The following is an 18443-nucleotide window of genomic DNA, read 5'->3' as shown; positions in this document are numbered from 1 at the left end:
TGTCACAACACTCTTCACTCACTCTTTCTGTTCTAGCTATTTTCATCTTCTTTCAGTTTCTTGTGTATCCTATACTCTTCTCTACCTCCAGACCTCTGGTTCCTTCTGGAACATCACCTGCATTGTCACTCAGTTGTCCCAGGGAGCCCTTCTCTGAGCCCCCCAGCCTAAACTCCCACAGCATCCCATACTACCCCGCTTTTTGATGTTCTTCAGATGGAGACTTCCTAGTCCAACAACTGACTCTCCCAATAGACCTTAAGATCCATGAGGGCAAGAGGTATGTTTGTTGTGATCATTGCTGTATCCCCAACACAGTATCTGACACTCAATAGATGCTAAAAATTATCTGTTGGATCAGTAAATGTGTATCATACTCTTCTCTGTTGTTTATCTTTGAATGGGGGTCTCTAGGTAACACAGAACCCTAACCTTTAAGCACCCAAGTAGGCTAATTAGTAAGGAGCCTTTTCATCTGCCCACTAGATTACAGTGGGGAACTAGGAGCATTGCATGCCACCAAGAACACGTTTTGAATTCATCTCTTCCCAGTTCTCTTATCATCTTTATGTCTCAAATTCATCAACCTGTCTAAAGAGTCCTGGGTTCATTCTCTTGAGAAGGTTCTGGGGGACTCCATAGTTTAATTTACATTTGTATCTGCCACCTGTAGAGCCCATTAAAGATAAAATGACAGTGGCAAGAACATGGCTGTGGAGAAACTTCCTGAAATCTGCCAGTGATTATAGCCACAGAATGACTTCAGTGTTTTTTTTTTAATGTTTGGATCTTTTGGCTCTCCATGAATGTGGTGACCTTGTGGTGACTTCCACCTTTCATTCAAAACTGACTTACAGACAACTTGGGTTTCAAAGACTATAGCAATAACTTTAGATGTGGAACTTGAGTTTCCTTCTCTGTGCACTCACCTGTTTTTTGTTTATAGCTACACATATTTTCTTTTCTTTTTTTAACCTGGAAGAGGAGAGGCATTGTTTCAGATATCTCAAACAAGGTTGAAAAATGTCCACAGCCAATTCCCAGGAAAAATGACCCTTTCTGTCTAGTAGTCTCTCCCATTTTAGTTCCTTGTATTTGTATGAGTTTCCTTCCTTCTCTTGTACTTCTTGATGTTCATGAAACATATACCCAGTACCTACCTGTTCATGAAATCTGTACTCAGTATGCTCTCTGGCCAACTACTTCGTAGTCCCCTGAGAGCACAGCCAGTCACATTTGGTAGAAATGGAGAAGCATCTCCTCTCTCCTGCCATGCAGACTGGCTTCAATCTCCTCAACATCACTTCAGTCAACTCTAGTCTTAGGCTTTGACATAATGTAACCGCCCAACATGTTCACCTTGCCTGCTGCCTAGAGAGAGCTGATTTATGAAGACAGGGGAATTGCAAAAGAGAAAGAGTAATTCACAGAGCAAGCTGTGCGGGAGACTGGAGTTTTATTATTACTCAAGTCAGTCTTACTGAGAACTTGGGGATCAGAGTTTTTCAGGATAATTTGGTGAGTAGGTGGGTCAGTGAATCGGGAATTCTGATTGGTCAGGTCTGAGATGAACTCATAAGGAGTTGAAGCTGTCCTCTTGCACTGAGTCAGTTCCTGGGTCAGGGTCACAAGACCAGATGAGCCAGTTTATCAGTCTGTGTGGTGCCAGTTGATCCATCAAGTGCAGGGTCTGCAAAATATCTCAAGCACTGATCTTAAGTTTTACAATAGTGATATTATCCCCAGGAGCAATTTGGGGAGATTCAGAATTTTGTAGCCTCCAGCTGCGTGACTCCTAAATCATAATTTCTAATCTTTTAGCTAATTTGTTAGTCCTGCAAAGGCAGTCTAGTCCTCAGGCAGAAAGGGGGTTTGTTTTGGGAAAGGGCTGTTAACATCTTTGTTTCAAAGCTAAACCTAAACTAAGTTTCTCCCAGAGTTAGTTTGGCCTATAGCCAGGAATGAACAATGACAGCTTGGAGTTTAGAAGCAAGGTAGAGTTGGTTAGTTCAGATCTCTTTCACTGCCTCAATTATAATTTTGCAGTGGCGGTCTCAACAATGTGATGCTGTATCTTTAAGAGAGAAAGTAAGTCACAAAATAAAGTATAACCTATATTTGCAATGATAATTGAAATGAGGTTGCTTTGGTATAGTGAAGACTAATTTTTCACTTCATTTTCCATTTTACGGCCCATCAGTAACTTCCTGTATCTTCTTTTTGGCAGACGTCCTTGACCACAGAGGAGAAACTGGCAATTTAAAAACAGCCAGATATCTGGTGCTATTTCAAAGTTATAATAGAGACCTGTGATACCTTGCTGTGGTGTTGGACTTAGTTTATGTCTTCCATCTCCCTTTGGTAGACAGAAGAATTAGTCTGGTTTATGATGAATTTTGTATATGTTTACTGGAAAGTGTTCTGCCTTAAAGAAAGTTTTCGTAATAGCCAAAAGCACATTGCAGGAAGATGCCCTGCATAGACCTGTGTGTGCTTGTAAGTGGCAAGTTTCAGACATCAGAGAATGTGGCTTTCTCTTGTGTTTGAAAGTACAGAGAGTTTTATGGATTCCCAGATGCTAGGCTAAGGACGATTAATATATAGTCTGTTGGCCTCAGTCATCTCTAGCTATTCATCACCCGATGATACACTCAACCATGTTCATGAGTTTAAAGAATCAGAAAGTCAGAAAAGGGTAAGGGCAAATGATCTGAAATATATCAATGGAAGCTCATTTCTAATTGGTGCTATCGTTTAGGTTTATGACAGGTTCTTCATAAACCACTATGTGTGTGTAAAACACATCAGAGACTTCTCACACCAGAGCAAACCAGACTAGACAGAGTTATTTCACACAGTAATCACCAAACATTCCTATCTTTTAAATATAAGGAGCCAATCTATTGTAACCTCCTCTGCAAACACTGTTGTATTTATTCTTTCTCTTTTAATGCTTGACACTTAACCTGAATGGCTTCTTTTATGTATTCAGTTTGAAAAAACAGGATATAGAAAGCATCATTTGATTTTTAAATTTCCATTCCTGGGTAGATGTTTTGGTTATTAAAAAATAGCTCAACCCTATTTGTTTGAGACATATATGCAGGTAAATGGGTACATTTAGGGATTTATTTATTTATTTATTTTGTCTTTCTATTTCCCTGTCCACATTTGTGCTTGTAGATCTGTGTCTCTGGAGATCCCTTTGCTCAGCCATCAGATCAAGCAGGCATCCATGGTTCAGAATGGTAAGCAAGACCATGCAGTTAAAAAAAAAAAAAAAAAAAAGTTGGTGAGCAGGAAGAATATATAGGCACCATGAGTCTGCACTGAACAGAGCAGGAGCAGCTTGTCCAGGGAAGTCAGAGTCGCACCAGGGGTGTAGCTGGAGCATCTACCACAGGATGGTTGTGTCTGCCAGGGTCACTAATTATTTTGCAGTCAGAAAGTGCCTGGTGAAAGGCTTAAAGGAGAAATTCAATGCAGTTTCCTTTTATCTGCCTCTCCAATTGATGTCTATACAGAGCAAACAGGGCTCCCCAAACACGCCAGTCTGTTTCAGATACACAAGATTAAGTAGCTAGTGACATTCAAGACCAATCGGCCCACCCAGGAGGATTGAAACCAGTGGAAAAGCTGTCAGATTTCGCCTTTTCTCCATTAATCTTAAAGCTTTTCAGTGGTGCCAGGTCGCATCTCCATCAGACAAGCTGAGAAGAGTGTCCCGCAACTTTCTACACCCCCCACCCCCACACCAAGGAGAGTAACCCCTTCATTGCTGAGCTGATCTCTTAGGATATAGGGGATTCTTTTCACGGCCAGGAACAGATCTTCACTGGCTCCACTGCTTTTCAATACTGGAGGAAGCTGGGAGCAGAAGGCGGGGTCTTTCTTCCTTACAAGTTCATGGCTGGTCCACTCCCTGGAGGCTGTGCCACACAGACCCCAGAGATCAGCTGCCCTTGAGAAGAGATGGCTTTAGGGGTGACCGTGGGACAGCTAAGGAAACAGGTGTTCCCCTAGTAGTCTGGAAGCTTCACCTACCTGACACAGTGTGTGGAAAGAGAGAGGGAAAGCTAGAGGGAGAGAACACAGGGAAAGATGAGAGAAAAGAAGAAAGAAGGTGTAAATAAAGAGAATGAAGTGCGAATTTGTAACGGTCCTTTCCCCATGCCTCATTTTAAATCCCTTTGGAAGCAGGTGATGACCTGGGCAAGAGCTCACCAGTAAGGAGCAAAGGGGCCCGCCTGCCACTCTTAAGCAGAGCGCCTGCTGAATCAGGATTTCCAAGGCTCCGGCTGAGTGCCTGGCTGGGGGCTGTGTGTGCAGATGCCACAAGATGGACAAGACTGAGGACGCAGGTGAGCATTTCTCGGTGCAGTCAGGAGTGGGAGAGGCCTGTGGCTTCCAGAAACCCAGCTTTGCCTTTGAAGACAGAACTCAGAGAACTGCTGGCTGGAGGGAGCCAGGGTCTTTTCCTGCTTTCTAGTTACCCCTGAGAGCCTTTTCTGTGGTGTTTATATCGCTGTCAGCCCGAGTCTACCCTCAACAATAGGTGTCTCAGAAAGCCGTGGGCCCAGTTCCTACAGCTGGGTTGATTTACACCAGCAGGTATAGACTGATCCCGCTCAAAATCAAAACTCTGGCCTCCACTAAAATCTTTCACAGCTCATATAGTTTTCACACACACACACACACACACACACACACACACGCACTGTTAGTTAAAAATCACCCATTCTTGAGCAGCATAGATCACTGTCTGGATGGGTTATCTTGTTCCTGTTAGTAGGTGTGTGCTTCCCACAGCTCCTACCCCACCCCAGATGGCTGCTGGCAGCAAGGCCTCAGCCTTTTTCCAATGTGCAGGGATTATAAAATAGACCTCTGGGTGACTTGTTTTTAGGGCAACTTTCCGTACAGTCCCTAGACTCATTTAAATATCTTTTGTTACATCAAAGAAGTCACCCTTCACAGCAGTCCCGGGGAACCAGGCCATCACCCAGAGTTATAGCATCACTTATAGATTAAAATGTTAATAAGCACAAAACTATGCAAAGGTAGACTTGTGGTGTTGTCAGTCTCACCTCACCTGTAGGGAACAGATGTGCCGTTGTTGTGTATATTAATATCTTTTCTCAAAGGAATATTAACCCAGAAGGAAACAAATAATAGGCATAATTATATCTAGGCATAATAACATATATATTGAATACTACCTTTGTCAGTATTATGCAACCGCATTTATCCTAACTGACCATTATTGAATACTTTGATAAACACCCACTAATAAAAGGGTGCCCAGCACAAGACTGTGCATAGAGTTGATGCTCAGTAATTTTCCAATTTATTATGGGCATGTCCTGACTAGTGCATTCAGTATACAAAGCACTTAGGTATTTGTATGGAATGTAAATTCTAGTATCAGCATCATCCGCCCTCTAATATTACAGTTAAGAAAAAGATAAGGACTCCTACAAAGGGAACTTAAAACCCTGAGGCCAGGTGTTTTGTCTAGGAATTTAACAGAGGCTTTGTGTGATAAGAGTCTCTCTAGGAAGGGCCAGCACTCAAGATCGTATTACCATTACAATGGCAAAAACCGCAATTACTTTTGCGCCAACCTAATAATCACCCTGTATAGCTGCAGTCCAGTCTGGGTTGCTGGGCCAGCAGATCATCCTGCTTAACATCTACCCCATAGCATCTGCTAAATTTAGGACACAGGAGATCCCAGATAGGTAACTGGTGAAGGAATTGAATGAGCATCTGAGAAGGTAGCCAGCTTCTGGACACAGATGGCCAGCAGGATATCTCCATAGGAGCAGCCTCTACTACTTTTTGCTTTTAAACGTGTGAACACATCTTTGCACTCTTGCAGAAATTCAGAATTGGGCCAGTACTACTTCCTGTTAAAAGGAGAAAGCAATCACTCCTTGGCTGCTGGTGACTGGGGAAGAAAGGTGAAGGGCCTGACTCTGCCATGTGTGGACCTCCCCACACAGACCCTTACACAGCAAGTTGCTAGAATTGCCTCCTCACCGTAGAGAGGAAAGAGAAACGGGGCAGCTTTCTTCTATCATCTCCATCTTCATCACAGGCCCTCACACTGACAGTTGCTCAAAGCGCTTGCTAACCAAATTCTTGGGCCCTTCCAGGTGGATAATAAGATATTATTTCTTGATCACTCAATATAGGATTTGTGTTATAAGGGCATATGTGAATTTAATATCAGTGTTATAACTTTCTCAGTGACTTCCAAAGAAATCTATGGTTTAACTTTATTTGTATTATGAAAGGAAAAAAGTTGTAAGCAGTGTAGATTTAGAAATAAAGCGGTGGGAGTGGAAAAGCCAGCAGCCCAGCATCACTTGTTTAAAACTCTTTCTACGATTGTGAAGAACCTGCACTTTTCCAGAATTTGTCTCTCTTATCTCCCTTCCACCTTGTTCTATATTTTGACCTTTCATGACCACATCTCCTACCATCTTTATAGTCTATCTTGTGTGGGTAGGGACCTATTTTGGCCAGATCCAGAATCATCTGGCTCCTTCTCTTTCTTGGTTCTTTTTACTTTATATGTTATTCTGAGCATGGGTCACCCCTCAGCTCCCTTCTTACCTTCTCCTAATCATAGTCACAGGACAATCATTGTCAGGAACAACATCTAGTTCTAATCACATTGAAATATGCAGTAACATCTAGTTGGATAATTTTCAATAAATCTCTACTAGGAATTGAGCTATTTTTGCCCTTAACTTTCCCGATAGCTTCATCAGAAAAGCAGCTCATTTAAAATAAAATGTGTTGGGGGCATTTGGAAACCATCCCTGCCATCAGCATCTTCTAGGCCAGGCCTTGACTTCCAGGGCTTATCATATGCAAGTTCGGAGTTTCAACTGATAACTTGATGGAACAGAAACAGGTGGGGCAAGGCTTGCAGAAAAAAAGGACATAGCCAACCTGGAGGCAGGGGCCTGGGGTCCTCCCTGAGGGTGCTGATACAAGTTAGATTCTTTATTGCTCACATGAAACAGCCTTTATGGTCCACACACTGGGCCTCCACAACAATGGATTTTCAGTCAACAATCTGAGGGGGTCATGGTATTTGTTAGATGCCTTAAGTATATATTTTCTGGCAAAATGGTTTCTGTCAAAAGTCAGGATAAGTCAAGGGATATTCTTGAGGGGAATTTAATGCAATGGAGAGGCTTTCAACATTTCAAAAAGTGTTGGCAGTAAAACATTTGTTCATAATAAGACATGAACATTTAAAAATATTTAAAAGTGCATTTAGTTAGCAAGAAGTGTTTCAAACTAATTGACTCAGTTGGATCTGAAGAAGTTGATAAAAGGGGTTTTGAGGGTGAATAGGCCCAATATGAAACACAGGTGACTTTAGGAGGCTGTAAATGCTATCCCTATGTTAAGCACCTAGATCACCAGAAACTTCATTTTTGTATTATATTTCTCTGGACCCCTAGAGACTCAGCTTTACAGAGTCAGTCTTTAAAAGAGCTTGAGAGACCGGGCACGGTGGCTCACGCCTGTAATCCCAGCACTTTGGAATGCCAAGGCAGGTGGATAACCTGAGGTCAGGAGTTCGAGACCAGCCTGGCCAACATGGCAAAATGCCATCTCTACTAAAAATACAAAAATTAGCTGGGCGTGGTGGCGCTTGCCTGTAATCTCAGCTAGTTGGAAGGCTGAGGCAGGAGAATCACTTGAACCCAGGAGGCAGAGGTTGCAGTGAGCCGAGACTGCACCATTGCACTCCAGCCTGGGCAAAAAGAGCGAAACTCCATCTCAAAACCAGAAAAGCTTGAGATAAGCTGTGGGGGTTGTGGCGGTGGAAGGGAGACGATATAAGAAAGGCGCCACTCTCTCTCTTTCTTTATATGTGTTTGTGTGTGTGCATTCAGAACTGCTTCAGTGAAGTTGCTTACTGCCTCATACCTAAGCATAGCTCAGGAGCAAGAAAAAGTTTGTCTAGCCTCCTCTGAGTAGACATCAAGAATGATATAATTCACTGTGTTTTGCCTTAGACTTGAGCATGCTAGCATCTAAAGCCAGGATTTGGGCTCCATTGCTGTTATCTTTCTTTTGCCAGAGCTTCTTGATATGATTTTCCCCCTTTTGAACTTGCTCTTGGTCATGCTAAGGTACTGATATATCGGTTCCAATGCTTATAATGACCTTACCATCAAGACTTTGCATGCTATCTGTGGTTTATAGAGTGTAAACATGCCAGGAAGTGTTTGGATGGATTGGAAGGATTTTGAAACCACTTCTTTTGCTTTAGAACAGAAAACATCTAAAACTATGTGCTGTGGAGTACCTGGAGAACCTTCCAGAGGCCCACACAGAAAAGAACCTTTGATTTGGTTACTGGAACTGCTCTCAGCATACAATAGTCCTAACCTCCTTTGGCTGCTCTGCTTCTTTGACTCACTTCCTGACCCAGACTTCCGTTTAGAAAGGAATCCTGTTTCTGGTCATTTCCCAACAGGCTGTTCTGCCTGGTTGGCTGTTTAAAGATGTGGTGCTTTGTGATGTGTTGCTCTCAGGGCATCTTTGAGGCATTTCTTCTGACCACCCTGCTTGCAGCTGCCCACTTCCTCTCCCTTCCAACAGCTGTTCTGATGTCCTGCTGTCATCCTCTCTGTATACAGCAGACAAGCAGTCTCGCTGCAGCTAGCATCCATCCTGTCAGTGTCGGTGGGCTGGCTGCATTCCAGGACATGGGTAGACGGATACAAGAGGACAAGCTTGGGAACCAAATGTTGGCAAGGGAATGGAATGAACACAAAGCCCTTTGCTAGTGATCATCAAGGAGGGTGATAGGAATATCTCTCTCAGTTGATGACCTTTGAATTCTCAGTCTCTGGAAGAACTTTGACATCCAGGGAGCCTTTGTGGGATAATGTCCCCTAAAAGGAATCTTTGTGTGATAGTGTCCTCTAAGGGCACATGTTTTCTTTAAAGCCTTGTTGTTTTGCAAACTCAGAAAGGTTTCTACTAGCTCTAATAAGCTTGTGGCTTCCCAGCAACCTGGACCCAGCCCCTGTATATTCCAAAAGCAGTGATCACAGAATTAGACAAGCAAAGAAGCTAATCTGACGATGTACACAGTTTGTAAGCATGTGTTAAACTTCAGGATAAGGAATGTGTAAAGCAGAGAAGAAGTGGCAGCTTATACCTTCCTACTCCAACTTTCAGGATGAACTGAGAGTGCTGATGTTCCTTTCCTTTCAAAACTTGCACAAGGAAAATTTTGGAGAAGAAATTGGAGGTCATGCCACAAATCCTGAGCTGGGGAACCACATGCTGTGGTGGAAATAGGAGCGCAGAGGCTAGATTTCCAGGACATTCTGCAGTGGGAGGTGGATGGGGCATTGTGTGTGATAGCTTTAGTTTTCAGGAAAGAGGAATGAGGAACAGAATGGAAAATGGTGAGACAAATGAGACAAATGCAACTGACATTTGTCATTTTTGGCTACCTAGTATATGAACTACCTTTTGTGTTTGAGAAATTTCCTGCCTAAAGGCCAGAAAACCCCCTTCACTAGCCCTCCCTGCAGCTCAAGTGTAGGCATGTGCCCTAGGGTGGATCCCTCAGATGCATCACCCCAGCCTTTGAACAGGGAGCCAGTGGCGCAAAGAAGCAGAAACAGGAGAGAACCCATTTGGTTGTAGTGGTGGCAATACTGCTAACATTCAGCTCCCTGTATTCCATGGGGACTGGAGAGCCTCACTGGTCTTGGGTCTCTGCTCCCACCTGTCCTCTGAGCCCAGTGTTCTTGAAGAGTTTGTGAGCTACCTCATATCCTTTGAAAAAAGTGTATTTTCTGCTTAAGTCAGACATAGTTTCTGTTGCTGGCAAAATGAAACTTCAAAATGAAACCAGAGCTGCCTCTGACTCTCACCCCACATATTTGAATCAAACTCAGATTTCCTACAACAGCAGACTTCTGATGCCCAGGCCTCAGTTCTGAACTCTGGAGGCTACAACCTGGCCTGCTTATAGACGGTGGACCAAATGAAGGTGAAGAGGAGACGGGTGAGGAGAGGACTGGGTGGCAGGGACATATGATCTGGTCAGGGAACAAGAACAAGCAAGTGGCAGCACTAAGGGTTCAACACAAGGAGGGGCTGAGAAGATTGAGGCATGAGCAGGGTGGCGGGCATGGTTTGTGACTCTGCCAGATTCAGAAGGTTAGGGATGAGGGACTCACCCTGAGTTGTGTTTGCCCAGGAAGCCCAGACCGGCTGAGCAGGCCAAGCCCAGGGTAAACAAAGAAAAGCATGCCAGTTTTCTAGACGAGGAAGGCAATGTGTCAAACTCTCACTTTGGCCATCCCAGTGGAGAAAGGCAGAACTCAATGAAAGACCATGTTCTCTTCTTCCCTGTGCTTTGGGGGCTAATGTTGATAACTGGGGTTTAGCACATTAAAGAATAAGTCATGCAACCCACCATCTGGAGAATCTATGCAATTCCCCTTCAATCGGAGCTGACTGTACACACACACCTTGAGACCTAAACAATCTAATAGCACCAGATGGTTCCCTAGGAAGCAAATTAATTAGACATTTCTCTGAAGATATAGTCCAGTTGGGGTTAAAGTTTGGAAAAGTTCTTTGTAGTATTGGGGGCAAAGGAACCAAGGTTTTATTTGAAGTAGAGAGTGGCTGAAATTATGGCACAATCTGCAGGCCAGGCAACATTCTGAAGTTTTGTTTTAGGCTAAGAATAGGTGCTTGGCTACGCAGTTGCTGGAATTAGTACTCCAGCTACCTATACAGCCCTCCAATATTTAGAAGAGTGGCCCAGGTATTAGGAAGAGCATGGCAGAGACTTATGAATTTTCTAGAGATAGAAGAATTCATTAATTTATCTACTCATTTGACAAATATTTATTAAACACTTTATACACTAGGCACTCTTGCCTGGGCCTTTCTCACCAGGAAAATTGAGATAATGCTCTTATTTAATCCACACAATAGCCCTGATTTAGGTCTATTTGTTATTCTCATTTTACAGATGAGGAAACTGAAGCAACTGTTCAAGAAGAGGATATAAAAAGGGACAGGCATTGATGATGATATCAGAGCTTCTTCCTGGGGAATCTCAGCCTCACATGATGGAGTATGACTAAAGGAAAAAAATAAGGCTCTTCACATACTTTCTTGGCAGTCTGTGAGGGTCAGGGTTGATTTTGTGTCCCTAAAATGTCACATGAAGTTCATAGGCACTTCCAAAGGGGCAGTCTAGCAAGTTAAAGAGTAGATGTGGGGCTGTGTGGAGTCCATTGTTTGGGTAATCTTTTTCAAACAGTAGGAATATACCAGCTTGTAAAGATTTGCCCACTTAGCTTCAAGTCTCTCTGAACACATTTCCCCCCGCTCTATGAATAGATGAAGACATACAAATGGAACTCTTGATATTCTTAAGTGAAAAACATGATATGGAATAGCAGATAAATACAAACAATTTCTTATCCAGCAAAGAGCTCCAGAAATATTTTGACTTCATTTAAAACAGTTATATAAATATTTGCTGGTGGAATTTTTTTCTAAACCAAATACCCTGAAGGATTTTAGTTGTCTATCTACAACTTTTTGCTTGTGGAAAATGTTGACTTCCTGGTTACTTTGACTTGTGTTCACCTGAAATTTTGCTTTTGCAGTAGTTTTTCTTATGATTTAGTGGCATTGCCTGTCCAGTGACAGGAAGTGGTGTTCTTATTGGGACTAATATGTGTTATGGCCCTAGAACCAGCAGAAGCCACTCCTGCTTTTTTCCACACTCTTCTTTCTATAGAAGAGAAGGGAATGAGGATCCCACATGGCATTCACTGCCTTGAGCATACTGAGATTTCTTTGCAAAAGGAGAAACAGCACCAGCAACTAAGCATTTTATCCCATTTTATTTTACTTCTTCTATGATTCTTTGCCACTTAGCAATGCCAATTAATTGATTTGGGACTGGAAATACATTTCTTATACAATCTTCAAGTTTTCTTTCATAAGAACATAACTTTCATCTGATATTGTTCCCCACTTCTCTCTTTTCAAATGTAATATTTGGGCCAGTCCTTGAAAGTGAACTGAGTTGAGTTCTCATGGCCCATAAAAGAACATATTCAAAATGTATCATTTTCTTTATGTCACAGATAAAAGATCATTAATTGTATATAAAATTTCCATATAATTTTTAAAATTTTTATTTTGCAATAATTTATTTTAGATTTACATTAAAGTTGCAAGGAAGGTACAAAGAGTCTCTGTATGCCTTTCACTCAGTTTCTCCTAATGTTAACATCTTACGTAATCATGGTACCGTTTTCAAAACTGAGAAATTAACATTGGTATTTTGCTATTAACAATAGACTTTACTCAAATGTGAACAGTGTTTTCATGAATGCCCATTTTTATTTCTAGGATTCAGTCAGGATACCACAGTGTATTTAGCTCAAATGTACTCTATAACTTTATCAGATTCATTTATTAGTTTTAACAGTTTTTTGATGGAGTCTTTAGGGCTTTCTATATATAAGATCATGTTGTCTAAAAGCCAAGAACAGTTTAATTTATTCCTTTCTGATGTAGTTGCTTTTTATTTCTTTCCTTTCCCTGATTGCTCAAGCTAGGTTTTTCAGTACTATGTGGAGTAGAAGTGGCAAGAGTGGAGATCCTTGTCTGCAGCCTCTACCTCCCAGGTTCAAGCAATTCTCTTGCCTCAGCTTCCTGAGTAGCTGGGACTACAGCACGTGCCACCACGCCCAGCTAATTTTTGCATTTTTAGTAGAGATGGGGTTTCACCATGTTGGCCAGGCTGGTCTTGGACTCCTGATTTCAGGTGATCCACCCGCCTCAGCCTCACAAAGTGCTGGGATTATAGGTGTGAGCCACCACCCCTGGTAGGTTTATGATATTTTTAATGTGCTGTTGAATTCAGTTTGCTAGAATATTTTTGAGGGCTTTTGCACCTATGTTAATCAGGGAAATCGGACTGTAATTTTATTTTCTTCTAGTATCTTTGTTTGGCTTTGATATCATGGTAATGCTGGCCTTGTATAATAAGTTGGGGAGTATTTCCTTCTCTTCAGTTTTGGGAAAAGCTTGAGAAGGATTTGTATTCTTTTTAATGTTTTGTAGAAAGCAGCAGTGAAGCCATCCAGTCCTGGGCTTTCCTTTGGTGGGAAACTTTTTATTATTGATTCAGTTCTCTTAGCCATTATTTCTTTGTTCAGATTTTCTCCATGATTCAGCCTTGATAGCCTGTATGTGTCTAGGAATTTGTTTTTTCCAGGTTTTCCAATTTGTTAGTGTATAATTATTCATAATAGTCTCTTATGATTGTTTATACTTCAGTTGTAATGTCTACTTTTTCATTTACAACTTCGAGTCTTCTATTCTTAGTCCATCTAAAAGTTTGTGAGTGTCCTCTTTTCAAAAAACCAATCCTTAGTTTCATTGATCTTTCTATTGTTTTTCTAGTCTCTATTTCATTTATTTCTGTTGTGATCTTTATTATTTCCTTTCTTCTACTAACTTTGAGCTTAGTTTGTTGTTAGTCTAGTTCCTTGAGGTGTAACATTAGCTTGCTTATGTGGACTTGTTTTTTTTGATGTAGGCATTTACTGCTATAACCTTCCCTCTTAGAACTGGTTTTGCTGCATCCTGTAAGTTTTGCTATGTTTTACGTCTACTTTCATTTATCTTAATGTTTTTTCATTTCTTTTTAAATTTCTTCTTTGACCCATTCATTGTTTAGGAGAATGTTGCTCAATTTCTATGTATTTGTGAATTTCCCAAAATTTCTCCTGTCACTGATAAGTACTTTCCTACCATTGTGGTAAAAAAATGACACTAGACATGATTTAAAACTTCTTTCATTTGTAAGACTTGTGGCTTAACATATGATCTGTCTTAGAGCATATTCCATGTGTGCTTGAGAAGAATATGTATTCTGCTGCAGTCATATGAAATGTTCTATGTGTGTCTATTAGTTTTATTTGGTCTAAGGTATAGTTTACATCTGATATTTCATTACTGATTTTCTGCCTGAATGATAAGTCCATTGCTGAAAGTGGGATGTCAAAGTCCCCCACTATTATTGTATTATAGTCTTTCTCTTTCTTCAGATCTATTAATATTTGATTTATATAGTTAGGTACTCTGATGTTAGGTGCATTTATATTTACAACTGTATATTGTCTTATGAATTGACCTTTTTATTATTATATAATGAAATTCCTTGTCTCATTTTACAGTTTTTTACTTTAAAGTCTATTTTATTTGATATAAGTATAGCCAACCCTGGTCTCTTTTGGGTTCCAGTTGCATGGAATATCTTTTTTTCATTTCTTCACATCTTCAGTTTGTCCATAAAGGTGAAGTGAGTACTTTGTAAGCAGCATGTAGTTGAGTCCTGTTTTTATCCATTTAGCCATTCTATGTATTTTAATTCAAGAAATTCATTTACTTTTAAGGTAATTATTGGTATGTAAGAATGTATTACTGCCATTTTCTTACTTGTTTTTTGAGTGTTTTGTTGATCCTTTGTTCCTTTCTTCCTCTCTTGCTGTTTTCCTTTGTGATTAGGTGAGTTTCACTAATAGTATATATTGATTCCTTTTTATCTTTTGTGTTTCTACTAAAGATTTTTGTTTTCTGGTTACCACGAGGCTGACATAAAACATGTCATAATTACAACTGGCTGTTTTGAGAGAATAATAACTTTGATTGCATAAACACATTTTACACTTTTATTCAACCCTCCTCAGTTCTTTTGTTGTCACAACTTACATCTTTTAATATTATGTATCCCTTAACAAATTATTGTAACAATAGTTATTTTTAATATTTTTGTCTTTTAATCTTCATACTAAAGATGTAAGTGATTTATATACCACCATTACAGTATAAGAGTATTCTAAATTTGGTTTGTTCGTTCTTTTTTTTCTTTTTTGAGATAGAGTCTCGCTCTGTTGCCCAGGCTGGAGTGCATTGGCATGATCTTGGCTCACTGCAACCTCTGCCTCCCAGGTTCAAGCAATCCTCCTGCCTCAGCACCCCTAGTAGCTGGGATTACAGGCACTCGCCACCACGCCTGGCTAATTTTTGTATTTTTAGTAGAGACAGGGTTTCACCATGTTGGTGAGGGTGGTCTCGAACTCCTGATCTCAGGTGATCCACCTGCCTCGGCATCCCAAAGTGTTGGGATTACAGGCGTGAGCCACTGTACCTGGTGGGTTCTTTCTTTTACCAGTGAACTTTATACTTTCATATTTTTTGTGTTACTAGCATTCTTTTCTTTAAGCTTGAAGAACCCCCTTTAGCATTTCTGGTAAGATGAGTCCAATGGTAATGAATTCCCTCAGCTCTTGTTTGTCTAGGAAAGTCTTTATCACTCCTCCTTTCCTAAAAGACTAGTTTTGCCAGTTAAAGTATTCTTGGTTGAGAGGATATTCCCTCCTCCCGCCCATCCCACATTTTGTATATATACCATCTACTCTCTCCTGGCCTATAAGGTTTCTGCTGAGAAATCCACTGCTAGCCTTATTGCAACTCCTTTTATGTGATACGCTTCTTTTCTCTTGCAGCTTTCAGGATCCTGTCTTTGTCTTAAATTTTTGGTAGTTTGATTATAATATGTCTTGGTGTAGTCTACAATTTTGTTTGTATTGAATCTGATTAAAAACCTTTGACCTTCCAGTATCTAGATATTTCTGTCTTTCCCCAGATTTGGAAAGTTTTTTGCTATTATGTTTTTAAATAAACTTTCTGGCTCTTTGTCTTTCTACTTCTTGAACTCCTATAATTTGAAACTTTGCTCTTTTGATGCTCTCCTATAAATTCTATAAGCTTTCTTTAATTCCCCTTCTTTCTTTTTCCTTTTGTTTCTCTGACTGGGTAATTTCAAATGTCCTATCTTTGAGCTCACTGATTCTTTCTTCTGCTTTATTGAATCTGTTATTGGAGCTCTCTATGGAATTTTCAAGGTCAGTTACTGTGTTTTGTTAGCTTTCAATTTTTTTTATAGTTTCTATCTCTGTTAAACTTCAAATTTTGTTCATATATTGTTTTCCTGATTTTGTTTCATTGTCTGTCTTCCTGATTTTGTTTTGTTGTCTATCTGTATTCTCTCGTAGCTCACTGAACTTCTTAAAGATGATTACTTTGAACTCTTTGTCAGGCAGTTTATAAATCTCTGTTTCTTTAGGATCAGTTTGTTGGTATATTATTTTGTTCCTTTGGTGGTGTCATGTTTCCCCGATTGTTCTTGATCCTTCTGATTATACATTGATGTCTGTGCAGACTGGAAAACTCTTTGTCTGGGAAAACTCTTCACCAATCAGTCTGTCCAGAGATTTTGGGCAGAGCTTCTGATATGGTCTGCACGTGGGCTTGTGCTGGAATCTTAAGGCAGGTTGACCTAGGTGCCTGTGTCAGCAGGTGGGTGGTCCTGGGGCCTACGTCTGTAGGGTTGAGATTGGAGCCTAGAGCCACTGGGATGGATCTTTTGATTGAGTCTGCAGGGGTGGGCCTGGAGCCTACAGGGGCCAGCCTGAGGCCTGGCTATGCAGGGGTCAGCCTGAAACCTTAGTTTGCAGATGCCAGCCTGAAGCCTGGGGATATGGGGTCATGCCCAGTGCTGGGGGTGGTTTGGAACATGGGGCCACTGAGGATGGCCTGGCCCTGGGGTGTTCACATCAGAGCCTGAGTCTGCGAGGGCTGATCTGGTGCTGGAGTTTGCCTGGGGTGGGGCCACTGTGGTGGGCCTAGGGCTTCTGGGTCCAGCCCATTCCTGGGGCCAGTCTGGAACCTGGAGCCACTGGGGTCAGCCTGGTAGTAGTGGGGGCCTAGAGGCTCAGTCTATGGGTACTGACCTGAAGTCTGGGGCTATGAGGACCTGCCCAGCCCTGAATTTTACTGGATCAGGCCCAGTGTTGGGGTCCAAGGCAAAGTCCAATGCTCACTTCCTTCTGTTTCCTCCAGGTATCTCAATTCACATTATGCTACCTGGATTAGGGAAGGGATGATGTGGGTAATGTGTAACTGTCTTTCTTATCCTCTTCAATGCATTGTTTCTTAGTTCTGTGTTATGCCCAGGTGCTGTAATCTCCTAATTTCCTCAGCTCTGTGAAGGCATTTTTATACATGTTATTCAAACTGATGTTTGCTGGAGGAATGAGTGCTGGAAAGTCCTATGCTGCCATTTTGCTGATGTCTGTACTCCTGTTTAGTTGTTGAAATTACTGATGTGGTTTGATTTATTTTTAAATTTTAATGTGCAAGATTTTATATATACACACACTGCTTTTTTTCTTCTTTCTTGCTGTTAAATAGATTCATTAAGGTTTTCTTATTTTGTCTTTTCTCCCTCTGTTAGTTTAGAAGTCTTTTTCCATTCTTACAATATTGTTCATTTAAAAAAATGCATACTTGTCTTAACAAAGTCTAAAGTTAATATTGCTTCCCTTCTCCTGAGAGTTAAACTCTTCACTAATCCCCATCTTCCATATTATTGTTGTCTAATATAGTAGTTGCACTTTTTTTTCAACCCTCTCAAGTTAGCCCTTATTTTTATTAACAGTCAATGCTGATTTATATATACTTACAATTATAAATGTATTAATTCGTCATTGTTCCCAGCTTCTTCCTTGGTTCTTAAAAAAGGTCATGCATTAGTGGTTCCTTCAGAAAATGGTTTTCAAACTTTGCTTGAAACCTTATTCATTTCTCGCCAGTCTTGAATGATAAGTATAGAATTTTGGATAGTTATATTTTATCAGCATTTTGAATAAATTTTTATATTATCTTCTGGCCTTTGATATTGCTGATAGAAAATCTATTTTTATTTTAATTATTTTTAAGGTAGGAAATCTATATTTTCCTTCTGGTTGTTTTGAAGATATTCTTTGCTGTTTGACATGTCTAAATGTGAATGTATTTGTATTTATATTATTCAAGACCTATGCTTCTTCAAACTGAGGATATATCTCTTTAACCATTTTGAAAAATTCTCAACTATATTATTTTCGGGCCAGGTGTGGTGGCTCATGCCTATAATCCCAGCACTTTGGGAAGCCAAGGCAGGTGGATCACTTTAGGTCAGCCATTGGAGACCAGCCTGGCAAACATGGTGAAACCCCATCTCTACTAAAAATACAAAATTTAGCTGGGTGTGGTGGCAGGTGCCTGTAATTACAGCTGCTCAGGAAGCTGAGGCAGAAGATTGCTTGAACCTGGTAGGTGGAGGCTGCAGCGAGCTGAGATGATTCCACTGCACTCCAGCCTGGGAGACAGAGTGAGACTCTGTCTCAAAAAATTTTCTCTATATATAATTTTCAAATATTCTATTCTTTCCACAACTCTTGTTGCATACATATTGAGTATTTTAAGTCTCTCCTTCATTTCTTTTAATATTCTTTTAT

General features: G+C 40.8%; 1 long non-coding RNA gene across 2 annotated transcripts in view, besides 1 other annotated feature; it reads left to right on the top strand.

Moving 5' to 3' along the window:
- Positions 1 to 12278, top strand: part of LINC02105 (long intergenic non-protein coding RNA 2105) — a 43633-nt gene extending 31355 nt beyond the window's left edge. Inside the window, exons 3-6 of one of the 2 annotated variants that reach the window (NR_147167.1) lie at positions 3184 to 3248; positions 4201 to 4361; positions 9951 to 10060; positions 11042 to 12278. This is a non-coding gene — a long non-coding RNA (long intergenic non-protein coding RNA 2105). Of the gene's footprint in view, positions 1 to 3183; positions 3249 to 4197; positions 4362 to 9950; positions 10061 to 11041 lie in introns of both variants that reach the window. The other variant, NR_147168.1, reaches the window with a different exon arrangement.
- Positions 8404 to 8473: a silencer, noted in NCBI's record as "silent region_16007". NCBI's record gives its function as "represses an Ori minimal core promoter by ATAC-STARR-seq in GM12878 lymphoblastoid cells {active_cell/tissue: GM12878}" and the evidence as "EXISTENCE:reporter gene assay evidence [ECO:0000049][PMID:35858748]".
- Positions 12279 to 18443: the final 6165 nt, after the last annotated feature.

The sequence above is a fragment of the Homo sapiens genome, chromosome 5 (genome assembly GCF_000001405.40).
Source record: "Homo sapiens chromosome 5, GRCh38.p14 Primary Assembly".
NCBI classification, from domain to species: Eukaryota; Metazoa; Chordata; class Mammalia; order Primates; family Hominidae; genus Homo; species Homo sapiens.
The sequence above is the reverse complement of the archived record's forward strand: the minus strand, read 5'-3'. Positions and strand labels throughout refer to the sequence as shown.